General features: G+C 49.6%; 1 protein-coding gene across 6 annotated transcripts in view, besides 10 other annotated features; it reads right to left on the bottom strand.

Annotated features, from left to right (window-relative positions):
• The window catches only part of CD82 (CD82 molecule), a 55,950-nt gene extending 50,727 nt beyond the window's left edge, over positions 1 to 5,223 (bottom strand). For 2 of the 6 annotated variants that reach the window (NM_002231.4, NM_001024844.2), the window contains exon 1: positions 3,896 to 3,969. Coding sequence is in view for 1 of the 6 variants with exons in the window: in XM_047426900.1 (XP_047282856.1) it covers positions 5,130 to 5,150 (21 nt within the window). In the remaining 5 variants the exon portion in view is untranslated. Of the gene's footprint in view, positions 1 to 3,301; positions 3,970 to 5,129 lie in introns of those variants that run through there. The other 4 variants (XM_047426904.1, XM_047426900.1, XM_047426901.1 and 1 more) reach the window with 4 other exon arrangements.
• Positions 155 to 344: an enhancer, noted in NCBI's record as "active region_4656". NCBI's record gives its function as "activates an Ori minimal core promoter by ATAC-STARR-seq in GM12878 lymphoblastoid cells {active_cell/tissue: GM12878}" and the evidence as "EXISTENCE:reporter gene assay evidence [ECO:0000049][PMID:35858748]".
• Positions 525 to 574: an enhancer, noted in NCBI's record as "active region_4655". NCBI's record gives its function as "activates an Ori minimal core promoter by ATAC-STARR-seq in GM12878 lymphoblastoid cells {active_cell/tissue: GM12878}" and the evidence as "EXISTENCE:reporter gene assay evidence [ECO:0000049][PMID:35858748]".
• Positions 2,881 to 2,950: an enhancer, noted in NCBI's record as "active region_4654". NCBI's record gives its function as "activates an Ori minimal core promoter by ATAC-STARR-seq in GM12878 lymphoblastoid cells {active_cell/tissue: GM12878}" and the evidence as "EXISTENCE:reporter gene assay evidence [ECO:0000049][PMID:35858748]".
• Positions 3,456 to 3,956: an enhancer, noted in NCBI's record as "H3K4me1 hESC enhancer chr11:44587226-44587726 (GRCh37/hg19 assembly coordinates)". NCBI's record gives its function as "activates a minimal SCP1, AML or CMV promoter by ChIP-STARR-seq in naive H9 embryonic stem cells {active_cell/tissue: H9 hESC(naive)}" and the evidence as "EXISTENCE:reporter gene assay evidence [ECO:0000049][PMID:30033119]".
• Positions 3,456 to 4,470: a biological region, named in NCBI's record as "H3K4me1 hESC enhancer GRCh37_chr11:44587226-44587726".
• Positions 3,871 to 4,470: a silencer, noted in NCBI's record as "silent region_3275". NCBI's record gives its function as "represses an Ori minimal core promoter by ATAC-STARR-seq in GM12878 lymphoblastoid cells {active_cell/tissue: GM12878}" and the evidence as "EXISTENCE:reporter gene assay evidence [ECO:0000049][PMID:35858748]".
• Positions 6,796 to 7,295: an enhancer, noted in NCBI's record as "H3K4me1 hESC enhancer chr11:44583887-44584386 (GRCh37/hg19 assembly coordinates)". NCBI's record gives its function as "activates a minimal SCP1, AML or CMV promoter by ChIP-STARR-seq in naive H9 embryonic stem cells {active_cell/tissue: H9 hESC(naive)}" and the evidence as "EXISTENCE:reporter gene assay evidence [ECO:0000049][PMID:30033119]".
• Positions 7,296 to 7,797: an enhancer, noted in NCBI's record as "H3K4me1 hESC enhancer chr11:44583385-44583886 (GRCh37/hg19 assembly coordinates)". NCBI's record gives its function as "activates a minimal SCP1, AML or CMV promoter by ChIP-STARR-seq in naive H9 embryonic stem cells {active_cell/tissue: H9 hESC(naive)}" and the evidence as "EXISTENCE:reporter gene assay evidence [ECO:0000049][PMID:30033119]".
• Positions 9,833 to 10,469: an enhancer, noted in NCBI's record as "OCT4-NANOG hESC enhancer chr11:44580713-44581349 (GRCh37/hg19 assembly coordinates)". NCBI's record gives its function as "activates a minimal SCP1, AML or CMV promoter by ChIP-STARR-seq in naive and primed H9 embryonic stem cells {active_cell/tissue: H9 hESC(naive and primed)}" and the evidence as "EXISTENCE:reporter gene assay evidence [ECO:0000049][PMID:30033119]".
• Positions 12,878 to 12,927: a silencer, noted in NCBI's record as "silent region_3274". NCBI's record gives its function as "represses an Ori minimal core promoter by ATAC-STARR-seq in GM12878 lymphoblastoid cells {active_cell/tissue: GM12878}" and the evidence as "EXISTENCE:reporter gene assay evidence [ECO:0000049][PMID:35858748]".

Genomic DNA, 17,134 nt, shown 5'->3' with positions numbered 1-17,134 from the left:
GTGTGCGCATGCCTGAGTATGGGTGGGTGTTCACAGACATGCCCTACTTTGCAAAGGATAGATCCCAGGTCCCAGAACTCCCCGAGAGCCAAGGAAAGAATGGGGCATCAGCAAGTCAGGGAAGGAATCCCAGAGAGAAGGAACTTATCTAAGGTCACACAACATACACACAGCAGAGCAGCAGCCAACTCCAAGGACCAGAACACAGGTCTCTTTCCTCCATCAGCTGCCTGTCCATGTCAGCACAGTGAATCAGCTGCTGACAGGAAAACCACAGTGGAAGGGGAAGCCCGGGGGTGAGTCAGGAACCAGCCAGCCTCCGAGAGACACCAGCTGGGCCTGTTGCAGAGGCCCCGGGTCTGTGGTTGTCTGCCTCTTCTTAGGGCAGCATCAGGGGCGAGGGGAGCAACACATCCCACACCACTCACTCCATGTTTACCTCTGGGCTTCCCCTCCCAGCTCCTCAGACCCCGGCTTAGTGGAGGGGAAGCGGGTGGGTAGGGCAGTTCCTGCTGAGATTAAACGGGTCCTGTCCCACAGAGGGGCCCAGGCCAAACAGTCCAGGCTCTTCCCTCCCTTCCCACCTCTCACAGAGCCAGCTCCTGGCCGTTTGATGTTCTTGATTAAGTCATAACCGCCCCCTGTGAGCTTCCCATGGGGCAGAGGAAGTGGGTATAACGGTTTGGAGCAGAAGGCCAAGGCCAAGGTCAAGCCAGAATCAGGGGTGCCAGCTGGCCCCAGATGCTCCGAATCTGAAACAACACTCAGAACTTGGGGCTGCTCAGCCATGGGTTGAGGGAGGACTGTCTGGTCCTTAGGGGAACAGGTTTGGGTCCCCAGGGTGGAAGGGGATGGCCGGTGGGAGCTTCCAGGCTGTGGCTCTAAAGCGTGAGGCCTCAAGACAGAGGGGGCCGCCCCCACATAGCGGAAACTTCAGAGGAGCCCAGGGAAGCCAAAATCCTGCCCCAGTCCCCCTACTGTGGGAAACTTGTGCCCTGACTGCTCACCCACTGCCAGAGATAGCACATGGCTGACCTCTCACCCCTATCCTCCCTGGGCTGGGATGGGAGGGAGGGATCAGCAGGCACTTCTTCTAACCATCCCGCCCCCGACCCCCAAACTTACTGCTGGCTGGCACAGGCTCCCACCTTTCGGCCCAGATGCCTCCCCTTCATGGGCAAACCCCTCTGTAGCATTCATCACCCTCCCAGCAACCCCGCCACTCACCCAATCCAGCCACCTTCCTGAGACCCTGCTATGTACCAGACAGGATAGGGAGGAGAAAGAAGTGCAAATGTGCTGGAACAGTCCCCTCCCACCCCTCCAATGGTGCCTTTGCTCTCCCTGTGGCTGGTGTCTCTTCCTTCACTCCCAGTTGCAGACATCCCCAAAGCCACCCAGACCCCTTCTTCCCAGTCACTGCAGCCATTGGTTCATTATCCCTTGACCGCTGGATCCTCCACCCCAGCACATCTGGTACAGACTGACTTTCCTAAAGTGCTGCTCTGTTGTGTCACTCCTCTCCTCAGAAACCTTCAGTGGCTCCCACTTTCTGCAAATCAGATCCAAAGTTCTTATCCTGTCATTCAAGGCCCTCCGTAAGCTGATCCCACCTACTATTCCCACTGCATATCCCCACACGTTCCCAAACTTCAGCCAGAATGAGCAACCTAGAGGTTTCTCGAGAATTCTCAGGACAGGTTGACCTCCCTGCCTCTGCCTAGGCATTTTCCTCTCCTCAAGACACTATCTTCATTCTGGCTGCCGAAATCTTCCCAGTCTGTAAGGCCCTGAAGATCCCTCTAATCCTTTTTTCATTTATCTTCCATCAGAGTCCCTGGTATTCTTGTGTAAGCCCCTTCCCGGATGGTAAGCAACCTGAGGGTGCAGGCCTTATGTGGTCGCTTGTCATTCATCGAGCAGGAAGTGGGGGTGGTGGTGGGGAGGGCTTTCCATTAAGGCTCACTAGGTAGGCTCTGTTGAAATGAACGTCTCCTCCTCCCCACCTCAGGCACCACCTACCAGACCCTCTCCCTCCCCACCATACCAAACTCCAATTTATGCCACTTCAGTGCTTGAAGAGACTGTGGTCCCATGTTGATCCAAGCCAAACCAGGACCAGGAGCCCAGAGAGAAAGTCCTATTCAAGTCTCACCCCCTCCAGGAAGCCTCCTTACCCCCACCCCCTGCCCTGGCTTCTCAAGTGTCTCACTCTTCTGAACACCTCCCCCTGCCCTACATACACACACAGTCTCCTGCACACAGCGCAGCCGCCAGTCCGTCTCTGTCCCACAGCACTTTCCAGTTTGTTCCATACTGTACAGCTTATCTCCCAGAAGATGCAGGGAGCCAATATAATGCAGCACCTTCAGCGTCCTTCAGTGTCCAACCCTGCTTAGATATCGGGTGCCCACATTGCCCCTCGCCCCCATCCCAAGCCAAGTGTGCAATGGTATAGCTGGATTCCAGCCACCAGGGCAGAACAGACCCATGAAATCTCATCTGGTTATAAGCCCTGGGTGTGACTGATCCTCTCTACAGGGACATGGTAGGGATGGGGGAGCCCTCATTGTCAGCAACTCAGGCCTGGCTAGTTCACCTCTGTATCCTCTAGCTCTCTCTAGCATATAGTAGGTGCTCAGTAAACATTTTTAGACTTATTTAACTCAACACTTACCAACCTCAAGCAACATTACAGAAAACTCAGCCACTCTTTGTTCCAGATGACACAGTCCTCATCCCTCAAATAGAGTGATGTTGGTGGCAGGTGGCAATTTCTGGCTTTCACAAGGTCAGGAGGGGCTGTAGCCAACCCCATCTCTCCAAGAAAAAAAAAAGGCTCATTCCCCATAGGAAGCAAGCCCATCACCTGCCCACCCGCATCAAAGCAGCTGTCACAGAGGGAGGTCTCACTGGTTTCCTGGCACCTTGCTAAGTAGTGTATACACATTATTCTATTTAGTGCTTGCTCCTGCTATTGGATATTGTCATTATCCCCATTTTACAGGTGAGGAAACTGAAGTTTGGAGGGGGAATGGAATCCAAATCAGTTTGATCCCAAAGCCCAAGCCTTGACCACAGAACTATGCTGCCCCGCTACTGGGGCCCAGCACAGAGCACCCACCACCTCCAGGAACAGAACCCGTCAGCCAAGAAATTAACCCCGGGTATGCTTCAAGGGCCCCTGGGGCCCTGGGCTTGACCCTGGGCCCAAGGATTGGTGGGGTTTTCCCTTCTCTTCCCCACTCACCAGTGTAAGAACTGTTCCCCAGTTTCCAACCTCCTGCTCAGGCCAGCTCACCTGGAAAAGCCCCACTGAGTTTCCAACTTGAAGTCTTAGGGGGTCCGGCTCAGTTGAACTGTTAGAATTGGTGGGAAGCAGGTGAGGCGGGAAATGGAACCTCCCTGCTTTGGCCTCCTCTTCCCCAGGGTTGGTGGGTTCGAGCCCCAACCGAGGAAACAGTGCACTCTTTAAAGCAATTCGCTTCTCTCAGTCCCATTTTGCAGGGAGAGAAACTGCAGAGGGCAACGCGATGGGAACACCTGTGGCGACCTGCAGCCTGCTCTCACCTGCCAGCTCTCACCTTCCGGCGTTTTAAGTGAGAAAGGGCAACGGGAGCGTGGAATTCACCTGGTTCACTTCCTCCTGCTGGAACCCGGGAGGTCCAGAGCCAGGTAGAGGGACGGACCCAGGATCACGCAGCTGTGCACGGCCGAGTGTGAGAACTGGGGGTTCAGGACTGGTGGCTAAAGCTCCTTTTCACCCACCAGCTGCCCCGACCTGTCACTAGTTCCGAGGAAAGTTGTCCGAGCCGGACCGCAGAAGCGGGGGCTAAAACTAACTTTGCCTATGGTTGTCCGGCAGGCTACCCCGGCCCGCTGCCCCCTTGCTCACCTGCGGGTTCTGCTTTCTGCTCCGCGCTGCAGGCCCAGCGTCACCCGCTCGTGCCTCAGTCGGCGTCGGACTGCACAGCCCGGGGCTCAGTCACTCCTCGGCCCCCTCCCGGCTGCAGCCGGGGAACGCCGCGGACTCGGCAGGCCCCGCCCCCAGAAGACACGCCCCCTCCGCCGGCCCCGCCCCCGAGCCCTTTGGGAAGGCGGTGCGCTCCCGCCGGCCAGGCCCCGCCCACTATGGCCGTACCCCAACCAGCCTCGCCCCCGGGCCCAGCTGGAGCTGAGGCCCCGCCCCGCTACGGAGTCTCTCCTCTATCCCGGCAGCCCCGCCCCCAGGTTACACTGGGGATTAAGCCCGCCCCGCTCCAGCCCTGTCCACTCACGGCGCTGCCTAACGGTCCCGCCCAGCTCCCGCCTACCTCGTCCTCCCGGTCTCCTCCCGGGCCCTCCCAGCGCCCCCGCCTCCTTCACTTTCTCCTTCGAGCCCACCCCATCCCCCGGCCCTAGTAGGGTGAGGCCACGCCCCTCCCCGCACCAGCCTGGGCTCAGCGCCTTCCTAATCCTGCCCTGCCCTGCCCCTCTCATCTCGGGCGGGTAGCCCTGGGGCCCCCACGCTGGCATTCCAGGGCGGGTGTATCCGGGTGCCGCCGGGGAACGGCGTGGGAGCGGTTTGTGTCCTAAGTCGGGGCCTCTATCAGGAGGCGGCCTGGGCCCAGGAACTTTTTGAAAATACTGACTACCATTGATTGAATCCTTGCCAGGGGCCAGGCTCTATGCCAAGCGCTGAATACAGTTCTAGCCCTTGAATTCCCACAACTCATGGGTACTCTCGTTGCGCCTATTTTACTAATGCGCAGTTTAAGGCTCAGAGAAGGGAAGTCGAGGGCTCTGAATCTCATGGAGGCGGGCGTGAGCGGGATCCAGCCTCAGGTCCTGAGTCACAGGCTTGAGCTGCCCCAGCTTGCCTGGACTGGCCCCTGGGGAAGTAGCCCAGAACAACCAGTGCTGGGGCAGTGCCCAGCAGCTGCCTGAGGTGAGGGAGGAGGTGTGGGTTGATGAGAATAGTGGCAGGAGGGGCTGTGGGCCTAAGCCCTCAAAGCTGGCTTTCTCCCTGAAGAAAAAGTGGCCCAAAATTGAGGTGGGCTGCAAGAGCTCTCTAGGTGGCTGCGGTGCCCACCCTGCGTCCCAGCCCTCTGCCCTCCCAGGCTCCAGAGGACTAGCCTCAGGCAGATTACCTGGTTAATGACCAGGGGCATTCACCTGTGCAGCTGACAAAGCTCTTTCACTTCCATTATCACAATGTCCTCTCACAACACACCGTTGTGGGAGGGTATGATTATGAGCGCTTTGTACGAGTGGAGTAAGGGCGGGAGCTGGATCCCAGCCCAGCACTGTAGTTCTCACAGCGTGGTCCTTGAACCAGGAGCAACATCATCTGGGAACTTGTTAGGAGTGCGTATTTTGAAGCCCCATCCCAACTTACTGAATGGAAAACTGTGGGACAATTGGTTTTAATAAGGCCTCCAGGTGATTCTGAATCACATTCAAGCATGAACCACTGTTGAGCAAACTGTAAAGAAGTCAGGGTGGTCTGAGAATCACACAGACCTAGGTAGCTTCCTGGTTGCGTTTTAAACCCAGGACAAGGCAAGATACTTAACCTCTGGGATGAGCCCTTAAACAGGGAATAATAATAAAATGAGCCATAACAATCATACCGATCTTGATGGTAGCTGTTGAAGATTACATGTGACAGCATTCATAAAGTATTTGGCCCACCGCTTGAATGCCGTACATGCTCAGAAAATGTTCTCTTTTCAGCAAAAAGTCTCCTTCATAGCATTCCCACACCAAGTCAGAAAAGTGAGGCTGGAGAATCCTTTAAACCCAGCAGTGTGTCATACCCGCAGAGAGACACCCTCTATCCTGCAAGTGGTTAAGATCCTAACAAGCTCCTAGATGATGTGGATGCTGGTCCGGGGACCACACTTTGAGAACCACTGTGCCATTCTGTCTTGGGCTGGGTTTCAGATCCCTACCCTACCCAGCCCATGCAAAATGGGCATAAAATTCCTCCTATTCCACCCTACTCCACACCCCGCTCCCTCCGAGCTGGGGGTGTTTGTGATGGTGTATGGCAGATGCTCCTGACAGCAATAACTTGACTTAAGCATACCCTGAGAATGGTCCTGTATGGCAGATGCACCCCAATGTGTGTTTGGAGTTTTGAGCTAAGGAATCCGGGAATGACCAACCTGGAGATTCATTCCTTATCTGTGAGGAACATTTGAACCCCGGCCCATCCTGTGGAATGCAGGGTGTACAGGGGTTCAAAGCTCTTTGTTTGGGGCCAAATGAAGGTTATCAGGTGGGGGTTGTTAGGGGGAGGGTGCTAAGTGAGAGTGATGTATAAACTGCATGCTTTTTGTAAGCGGTTGTGGCTCTCCTGCCCAGCCTGCCATGGGACTGTACAGTTCTCCTGTCCAGCCCACTGCCACCGGCCGTCCCTGTGTGTAAGTTTCCCAATAAAACCCCATGTCCCAGTTGCTGGCTCTGGTCTCTCCTTCAGCCTCTTGAACCTAGTACCATCCCTACTGAAGTTAATAGGGCTCCAGCAGACAGATGGGAACTGGCCATTGGCAAAACAGCTGGATCCCCTCACTGTCCCCTCCCCCCATGAAGACATTCTCTCATATTAGTCCCATCTGCTATCCCTTGCTGCCCTGCCACTCCTGATTAGAGATAGAGGCAGCTGTGGTGACATTGAGAGCAGTCTTCAGGCAGCTTCTAGAATCTCTGCCATACTCCCTGTCATTGTCTGAGTCCCACAGAAGAGTGTCTCCCTGTAGGAGTGCAGGGCCTGGGCACTGGTCCTGTTATGCTGACCTGCCCGAACATGGAGAGCCCAAGTTAAGAGTGCAAATCAAGGACCAGATACCTTGTATCTAAACATTTAACTGACTGTGAAATAAAATGTGTATTCTCCTGCCTTGACAAATGTTCTTTCTAATGACCAGGAAGACCATGTTCAAATTTAGCATTCTTGGACTCTTTAGAATTTTATGCAAGAACATGGCAGTGCGGGAGGATAGCCTGGCCCTAGCCCTCAGCCCACCCACTCCACTTCTCTTCACACTCCATCTCTGTCTTGTGTCACAAGTGGCCTAGGACTCAGGCATGTGGATACTCCAGCCCACACACCCAAACTTTGCCCACACGCCTTGCCTACAGCCACCTCTTCGTCACCTCTCTATGAATGCACATTCCAGGGACAGGATGTACCCTCAGGAGGATGGACCTGGGCAGGCAGCTTTGTAAACCTTAAAACTGGCTGGGGGGCTGAGCACAGTGGCTCACACCTGAAATCCCAGCCCTTTGGGAGGCTGAGGCAGGAGGATTAAAGAGCTCAGGGGCTCAAGACCAGCCTGGGCAACAGGATGAAACCCTGTCTCTACAAAAACTACAAAAATTAGCTGGGTGTGGTGGCGTGTGCCTGTGGTCCCAGCTACTCGGGAGGCTGAGGTGGGAGGATCGCTTGAGCCAGGGAGGCGGAGGTTGCGGTAAGCTGAGATTGCACCACTGCACTCCAGCTGGGCAACAGAGCAAGACCCTGTCTCAAAAAACAAAACAAAACAAAACAAAACAAAACAAAACAAAACAAAAAAACTGGCTTGGGCTGGATAGGCAGTCTAGGTTTTTAAACACCCAAAGCATGATCAAGGTCAGGTGTGGGCTCTGGGTGGCCACAGGTGCCCTCTTGTCCAGGTCTATGGTGACATTGCCATTTGGCCTTGTCTCCCCAGCTTCTAGCACATGCCTGGAAGCTTAAGGGACAGTTGTTGAGTAGATGTGCATCTGAGTCTAACTTAGTCCATTTTCTGTTGCTATAACACAATACCATAGGCTGGGTAATCGATAAAAGAATTTTATTTTGTATAGTTCTGCAGCCTGGGAATTCCAAGGTTGAGAGGCTACATCTGGTGAAAGCCTTCTTACTGACTCATCACATGGTGAGAGGGCAAGGGCATGCCACCGCAGGTCTCTCTTCATCCTATTATAAAGCTACCAGTCCTCATCATGAGGGCCCCATCCTGATGACCTTATCTAATCCTCCCAAAGGCCCTACCCCCAAATACCATCAACATATGAATTTGGGGATTCAGTTTCCAATACATTCAAACCATAGCAGAGTCATTCACTGAAATATCACATTGGGTTGGCTCCCTCAGCATTGTCCCTATCCCCTCTCTTCCAGCAGAAGGCAAGCTTTGTCATGACTCACCTTGGGCATTTTGCCAGGCAGAAAGCGCAGACACTTCTAGTGAGACTCTACCTCTAGTCCATTCTAGAGGTGGAGCCAGGAGTTCTGGAGGTGGGAAAAGGGGTGAGAAGAACCACCCTAGAAAGCCTTGAGAGAAGATATCCATGGCCAACTTGGAGATGGGGAAGACGGTGGTGTGGCAAGACCTCAGAGAGGTATGGCTATAGGATTGCCAGGCTCTCAGAAGATTCCCCCACCCCAAAGGTGGAAGATGAACAGCTGAGCAGGAGACTTCAAAGAACTTGTAGGCAAGAACATGGGGGCCAGTTCCCTGTTAGTGTCTGGGCCTAGGTTAAGGCCCCAAGACTTTTGCACATCTCTGGTGGAGGAAGGTAAAGAGAATGAGTGCGGGTATCTGTTTCCTACTGTTATGTAACAAACCATCCCACTCATTTATTTTGCCCATAAATCTGCAGTTTGGGGTGGGCTCAGCAGCAACGGCTTATCTCTGCTCTACGCAATGTCAGGTGGTTCAATTGGAGGTTGGGGATCCATTTTCAAGATGGTGTACTCACACACCTAGCAAGTTGGCACTTGCTGCCAGCTGGGAGGTCAGCCAGAGCTGTGGAGGCCTTTGGTCCTCTCCATGAGGCTGCTCCACAGGTTGCTTGAGCTTCTTCATAATTTGGCTGCCGGTTTTGAAGAACAAAGACTCACTTAGAAGTGCATGGCATTTTGTGACCTAGCCTTAGAAGTCATATAGGATCACTTCCTTTGCATCCTATTAGTAGAAGCAGTCACCAAGGCCCTGGTTCAAGAGCAGGGTACATAGTCTCTTTCTTAACCAGGGGGTAACAAAATTCTAGAAGAGTTTTCAAGAAAGGAGATATTGTTGCAGCCATCTGTGAAAAATACAATCTGCCCCAAGCGAGTCCTCAGAATGACTGGAGGAGGGTTTCTCTGATGGGAGCTGAGAGTTCAAACTCAATTGATTGTTTTAAAAAATGGTATACAGTATGTATCACACAAGCATTTGTGCACAAATGAATAAGAAGTTCAGCAGTGGACAACTGGTCTTGAGTAGCTGGATGTCTTTTTTTTGTTTTTTTTTTAGATGGAGTCTCACTCTGTTGCTCAGGCTGGAGTGTGGTCGTGCGACCTCGGCTCACTGCAACCTCTGCCTCCCAGGTTCAAGTGATTCTCCTGCCTCAGCCTTGTGAGTAGCTGGAACTACAGGTGTGTGCCACCACGCCCAGCTAATTTTTTTGTGTTTTTAGTAAAGACTGGGTTTCACCATGTTAGCCAGGATGACCTCGATCTCCTGACCTCGTGATCCACCCACCTCGGCCTCCCATAATCCTGGGATTACAGGCGTGAGCCACCGCGCCTGGCCTAGTAAGTGGATGTCTTAAGATCTTTCTTCAAGAGTCCTCAGAATAGAGTTAGCACTTCCCTCCCTAAACCTGCACTGTTTCCTTAAAGTTACAAACTTAAAAATTGCACTCATTTAATCCTGATAGCAACAACCCAGTGAGGCACATACTATTATGAGGCCCATTCCCAAGATGTGGAAATGGAGCACTCAGATGCTAAAGTCATACAACTAACAAGTGATGGAGGAAAGTGAAGTTGCAGCTTATATATAGCTAACCCAATTTTCAGTTCCTGAAATTGAGCCCTAGGGGAAAGGCCCAAGTTGGGACCCAGTGAGCGCCCAACACTGAATCGCAAAAGCTCGCACTGGATCAAGGAGGTTCCCCAGGGCCTTGAAGGGACCCTGCTTCCTGCTTACAGAAAGAAGGCTGGCCCCAGAAAGCTGGGCTCCAGCACTTGCTTGGCATAACCCCGCCCTATCCTCTGTCCTCTTGCCGAGTCTCAGGCCAGGAAGTGGTTAATAGCACTTTCCCACACTTTCTGTTTCCATTTCTCTATTCCTGAACACAGTCATTCCTGCATTTGAATGGGCTCAGCAGGACCACCGACCTTTATTTTTTTCTCCAAAGCACTTAAAGGGGATTGGAACTCTAAGCCCATTATAGCTGGGTTGTAGCTGAGGACAGGGGCTGAGTTCCCACAGAAGACACTGAGCCATTGATTTGTTCCTGTCTCAGTCATTTCAGAAAGATCAGTGAGGCCCCTGCTCAAATCCTGCCCTGCCGCCTACTACATCTGAAGGTCCAGGGGTTACTCTTCAGGGGGCTTTTAGCCCCTGTACATTGCCATGTTGCCATAGCAACTACGACACTAATAATGGCAGCCACCGTTTTAAAAGTAAGCTGTAAAATAACTAATTTAAATATATTTAACTAATTTGATAACTAGCATTTGCGTAGCACTTTACATATTCTAAAGCTTATTTATATTTATCTTACAACTGTGGCACTTGGGTAAGTCTTTGAAACTATTAAATCATGTCCCCCCCTCCCCAAATTCCCTGTTCTACCCGTTTATTTTTCTTTTTAGGCATCAGCTTAAACCCATGGTAGGGTTATATACATCCCAATATATGTCATTTGTTTATAATAGATATGTATGTACTATTTTATTAGCCATTTTGCATAATATGAACTATGCACAAAGACAAATATTTTATTTTATTTATTATTATTATTATTATTATTATTTTTGAGACAGATTCTCACTCTGTCGCCCAGGCTGGAGTGCAGTGGTACAATCTTGGCTCATTGCAACCTCTGCCTCCTGGGTTGGAGCAATTCTCCTGCCTCAGCCTCCCAAGTAACTGGGATTACAGGTGTGTTTCACTCACGCCCAGCTAATTTTTTTGTATTTTTAGTAGAGACGGGGTTTCACCATGCTGGCCAGGCTGGTCTTGAATTCCTGACCTCAGGCAATCCACCCACCTCGGCCTCCCATAATGCTGGGATCACAGGTGTGAGTCACTGCGCCTGGCCAAAAAACAAAAATTTTAAATGATAATTATTTAAAATATTGTATATATATATCTATAAAATAAACAGAAAGCAGTCCTATTATTTTCTCCTTGAACCCCAGCGGATCACATTGGAGACCATCGGCCACGCCTTTAGGGAGGGATTTTTGGAAGAGCAAAGCAGAAGAAAGGGGACTACTCTGGGCAGCGCTTTTTCAGTCTCCAGATAGAAGCACACCTTGGAGCTGTTGCAGGTTCCTTTCCCAACCACCACACTGAAGCGAATATTGCAATAAAGTGAGACACACAAATTTTTTTGGTTTCCTAATGCATGTAAAAGTTATGTTTACCCTCCACCATAGTCTATTAAGTATGCAATAGCATGTCTAAAAAATGTGCATACCTTACTTAAAAACTGTTGATCCTGGCCAGGTGTGGAGGCTCATGCCTGTAATCCCAGCACTTTGGGAGGCCGAGGTGGATGGATTACCTGAGGTGTGGAGTATGAGACTAGCCTGGCCAACATGATGAAACTCTGTCTCTACTAAAAATACAAAAATTAGCTGGGTATGGTGGCGGGCGCCTGTAATCCCAACTACTCAGGAGGCTGAGGCACGAGAATTGGTTGAACCCAGGAGATAGAGGTTGCAGTGAACCGAGATCACACCACTGCACTCTGGGAAACAGGGCGAGAGATTCAGTCTCAAAAAAAAAAAAAATTGATCCAAAATTCTGACAAAAAGTGAGTGCATACTGTTGGAAAAATGGCACGGACAAATTTGCTCAGTTCAGTTGCCACAAACCTTCAATTTGTAAAAAACACGTTATCTGTAAAGCGTAATAAAAAGCAATGTATGCCTGCACTCATAAGCCCCTGAGATGGATGAGGAGGTGCTGCAGAAAGGGGAACTCTCACAGCTGTTCTTCGGTGGAGCTGCACTATATCAGTGGGGAGATCTTTCCCTGAATCAGGCCTGAGATCTAAAAGAACACACCTGTGGCCCAAGAAGCTGATGGTGTAGACGTTCTCTCCCTTATACAGTTGAGAAGGCCAAGGCTTAGTTGAGTTGAAAAAGTTTTGAATTTGTGGCCAGCATTTAAAAATTGGGGAATTTTATGTTGATTTTTAGATGTATAGGGATAGGGACATCTGAGCCTCCTGCTGTGCCTTCCAACGGGGCCACAGCGGATGGACCTGAGTTGTGGCTGACCTCTTTATTTGCGACATATGACCTCCAGCTGGCTACAGTCCCCACTGTGCCTATGGCTCATCTAGCCTGCTTCCCTCATTTTTGTGACCTGCCTGGTTCCCATGGGGAACTGAGTTTGCAATCCGGGGAGCAATACTGGCTGAATTCATGTTCATATTGAGAGCATTCTGAGTAGCTGGCAGGGCCACACAGACCTTAGCGGGAAGACAGGGACACCACTTTCCAGGATGATCCCTGTGAAAACTGCCATGTTTGCACTGCCCTCCTCTGTGAGACATGGTTTAGCTCAAGTCCTTGCTCTGGTAACTTTCCAACATGTGACTTTGGGCACATGTGACCTTCACCTCTCTGGGTTTGTTTCCTCACTGCTTACGCTGCAGGCAATGCACATACAATATTTGCTACTTTAGGGCTATGAGATGCACTAGTTAGTTGTGTCCAAGTCATTCCTTTTACCAACAGAAATGAAGAGAAAGAGGAGAAAAAAATAAATAAAACCAAAAACCTCATCACTCTTTTCTCCAAAATGAGCATTTATCGCCCTCTGGTGTCCACCACAGCGCTCAGTGCAGCCAATTAAGAGCGGCTTGAAGGCCGGGCGCAATGGCTCATGCCTGTAACCCCAGCATTTTGCGAGGTTGAGGCGGGCAGATCACCTGAGGTCAGGAGTTCAAGACCAGCCTGGGCAACATGGTGAAACCCTGTCTGTACTAAAAATACAAAAATTAGCCGGGTGTGGTGGCATGAGCCTGTAATCCCAGCTACTCGGGAGGCTGAGGCAGGAGAATTGCTTGAACCCAGGAGGTGGAGGTTGCAGTGAGCCGAGATCACCCCACTGCGCTCCAGCCCAAGAGACAGAGCAAAACTCCGTCTCAAAAAAAAAAAAAAAAAAAAATCAGCTGGCACGGTGCCTCACGCCCATAATCACAATCCCAGCACTTCGGGAGGCTGAGGAGGGCAGATCACCTGAAGTCAGGAGTTCAAGACCAGCCTGGCCAACATGGTGAAACGCCGTCCTTAGTGAAAATACAAAAATTAGCTTGGCGTGGTCATAGGTGCCTGTAATCTCAGCTACTTGGGAGGCTGAGGCAGGAGAATCGCTTGAATCTTGCAGACAGAGGTTTCAGTGAGCCGAGATCATACCACTGCACTCCAGCCTGGGTGACAGAGTGAGACTCTGTCTCAGAAAAAAAAAAAAAAAAAAAGTTGGGGGCTTGGAGATGAAAGACTTGGAGGCAGGGGAATAGGGGCTGCCCCATTCCTCATGGTCTCAGTTTAATCCCCCTGGCTGCAGGGCCAGGTGAGGGCAGACATGGAATTAGGTCTCTACGCCAAGTTTCAACTGCAGACACCCACCCAGCTCAGATAAGGACACTTTTGAGGCGTGGGATTTACAAGCCAATGAGACAGCTGGCCTAAAGTCACCGCATTTAATAATCATGATGAAATAACATTAAACACAGTAGGTATTAGTTATAAGCATGGCAAGTGAAATCTAGTTGTTTTTGCAGAAAAATTTTATTTAATGGCTCTTGCAAAGTCCCCTGAATTGTTGAGCATGGGGCTGGGGTTGGCTGGAGAGTCACAGCTTCTGTGAGGTTATACTGCAGTAACAAAGAACTCCCCAAATCTCATTGATTTATATCAACAAAGGCCCTATTCCCCACTTATGTTACATGGCCGCTAAAGATTGCTGTGGGTCACGTGAGACTCTGCTTCATGTGTCTTTGTTATTCCCAGATCCAAGATGGAAAATCCGTCCCTATTTAGGGTCTTCTCATGGGACAGAAAAGAAGAAGCAGTGGTCAAGCCGCTTGGTGGCTCTCAAAGCTCCTGCTTAGATGTGGTATCTGTCATTCTGCCTACATGCCATTTGTTAAGGCAAGTTATGAAGCTGAGCTCCATATCATGGGCAGAGAAGTGTCCTCCCAGAGGGAGTTGTTGCCAGTCACATGACAATGGGCGGGGCTGTCTAATCTTACAGGGATGGGAAGGGACTCATTGGAGAAAAGGAAAACCCATACCAGTTCCTCTAGCACTGATAGCTGGATTCTGGGGAGCAGAGCTACCAGGTACATCAGTTACAAAGACACTGAATGCCACAAATCATGCTTCATAGTAGCTCTCATTCAACTGTATTTCACTTCTGCATTTCACAAATTATTTATTGAGTGCCTCCTGTGTCCTGGATGATATTCTAGCACTGAGGATATAGCAGTCAATGCCTTTGCCCTCTTGAATATATATTTGGATACCTATTATATATAATATTTATAACATATTATATATAACTTATATGTAAATAAAAATATGTACATATTTGCCATCATGATTTGAAAAAATATTTACCCAAAATTTACTTTTAGTGTGTTCAAGTAGCTGTAACAAAATACTTTAGACTGGGCAATTTATTAACAGTAGAAATTTATTTCTCATGGTTCTGGAGTGTGGGAAGTCCAAGACTGAGGTACCAGCAGATTGGCATCTGGTGAGGGCCCACTCTTTGCTTCCAAGATGGCACCTTCTAGCTACATCCTCACATGACTGAAAGGGCTAACAAGCTCCTTGGGCCTCTTTTAAAAGGGTGCTGCTCCCATGCACAGAGGTGAAACCTTCATGACCAAATTATCTCCCAAAAGCCCTATCTCTTAATACCATTGCATTGGGGAGTAGGTTTCAACATATGAATTTCAGGGGACACAAACATTCAGACCATAGCACTGACTCATGAACAGAAAGCCTGCTCTAATGATTTCACACAAAAATGGAGGCTAGACCATTTGGGCTGTGGGTGGATACTGCAAGAAGACACGTGACTCTAAGTTGTATCTCAGTAGTTCTTCCGGGAGGTCTGCATCCAATGTTCACGGTGTAGTGTGTAACCACCACTATAGGCTCATTCTCTTTTCTCTTTTTTTTTTTTTTTTTTGAGACAGTCTCACTCTGTTGCCCAGGCTAGAGTGCAATGACACAATCTTGACTCACTGCAACCTCCACCTCTGGGGTTCAAGCTATTCTCCTGCCTCAGCCTCCTGAGTAGCTGGGATTACAGGTACCCATCACCACACCCGGCTAATTTTTGTATTTTTAGTAGAGACGGGGTTTCACCATGTTGGCCAGGCTGGTCTCAAACTCCTGACCTCAAGTGATCCGCCTGCCTCGGCCTTCCAAAATGCTGGGGTTACAGGCGTGAGCCACTGTGCCTGGCCTACCATAGGCTCATTCTCATTATTAGGTGTAACTGTTGCCTAAGAAAGAGGAAGAGCCTGTGGAGGAAGCAGATGAGCCAGGAGACCTGGGAAATTTAAGCACTCATAGAAATATTCAGCAATGAAAGAAATGCACTCGTGAGCCTCCATTTGGCCCTTGTGTGACTCTGCATACTGTGCATATTTTTTTCATGAATAAGAAAGTAAAGAATGGTTATAAAAGTGTTGTTGGTTCTGGAATACACCACCACATTTCCTGAGCACAACAGGTGTTTTCTAAAAACCTAGAGAAACAGATTAAGTGGTAGACAAAAAACCATCATCCACCAAAGAGTTCCTAAGCCGGCAGACACACAAACCCACTAATGACTCCATTGAGGGTTGGGTAATTAGGCGATTGGTGTTTCAGATGCTCTCTATTATGCAGAAGTCCTCAGTGGATTGTAATACTGTGTATGTTTGTATGATATTGGATAAATCGATTGGGATGTTTGGATAGGTTAGTATTATGTCCTAAATGCTTATGTCCCCTCTAATATTCACATATTAAAACTCTAACCTTTAGTGTGGCTGTTTTTGGAGATGGGGCCTCTAAGGAAGGAACTAATGTTAAGTGAGGTGGTAAAGATGGGGACCTGATCTGATAGGATTCGTGTGTTCATAAGAAAAGACACTGGAGCTCTTCCTCTCTCTCCACCATGTGAGGAAAAAAGAGAAAAGTCAGAATCAGAGGATTACCTAAGGCTGTAAAACAGTTTGTGCTAGAGCCAAAGTTAGAAAATGTCTTTGTGATTCCTTGTTCCATTGTCTTAACGAGGTGACTTAGTCCACTTGTACTGCTATAGCAAAATACCTGGGACTGCATAATTTCTAAATAATATAAATAGATTTCTCATGGTTCTAGAGGCTGGGAAGTCCAAAACCAAGCCCTGGTGGATTCAGTGTCTGGCAAAGACCTGCTCCTCATAGATGGTGCCATTTAGGTGCCCTCACATGGCAGAAGGGATGGAAGTGCAAGAAGGGCTAAGCTGGTTCCCTCCAGTCCTTTTATAAGGTACTAATCCATGCATGAGGATGGAGCCCTCATGATTTAGTCACTTTTCAAAAAGAAGTGATTACTACCTCTTACTACCACCACAGTGGGGATTAAGTTTCAACATGAATCTTACAGGGGATGCACGTCCAAACCATAGCACTAGTATTTCAAACAGTGACATCACATGTTAATATTGGCCCACTAGGAATGTGTTTTAAGAAGCAGACCCAACATTTGCTATCTGCCAAGATCTCTCCCTTCCATTCTGCTAGAAGGCTTTCCTATCCCTTATTAGGGCCCCAAGTCTATGGTGCCAGTCCCAGATCCCAGTGTGGCCCTTTTATCACCAGCCCAGTCAGGAAGCCTGCAGGCTGTTTCTGGAGCCCAAGCACTTTGCTGGCAGTGAAGGAAGAAGAAATGAAGAAAGAGCTAGAAAAAAGAAAACGTTCTAGTTCACCAGGAGAGCTCACCTTTATCCTGGGTCTAAGAGGAATTTGCTTGCTGGGGTCCTTAGGTATCAGGTCACTGGGCCATATGATAAACTTTATCCATGACTGCAGTATTTAAAAGAAAGTTTTATCTGAGCTCTATTTCAATAATTTCCAGGTTATGCCCTTAAAAGGACAAGAGGTT

Source organism: Homo sapiens, chromosome 11, assembly GCF_000001405.40.
Source record: "Homo sapiens chromosome 11, GRCh38.p14 Primary Assembly".
NCBI classification, from domain to species: domain Eukaryota; kingdom Metazoa; phylum Chordata; class Mammalia; order Primates; family Hominidae; genus Homo; species Homo sapiens.
Note: the sequence above shows the minus strand (reverse complement) of the source record. Positions and strands in the feature narration are given on the sequence as shown.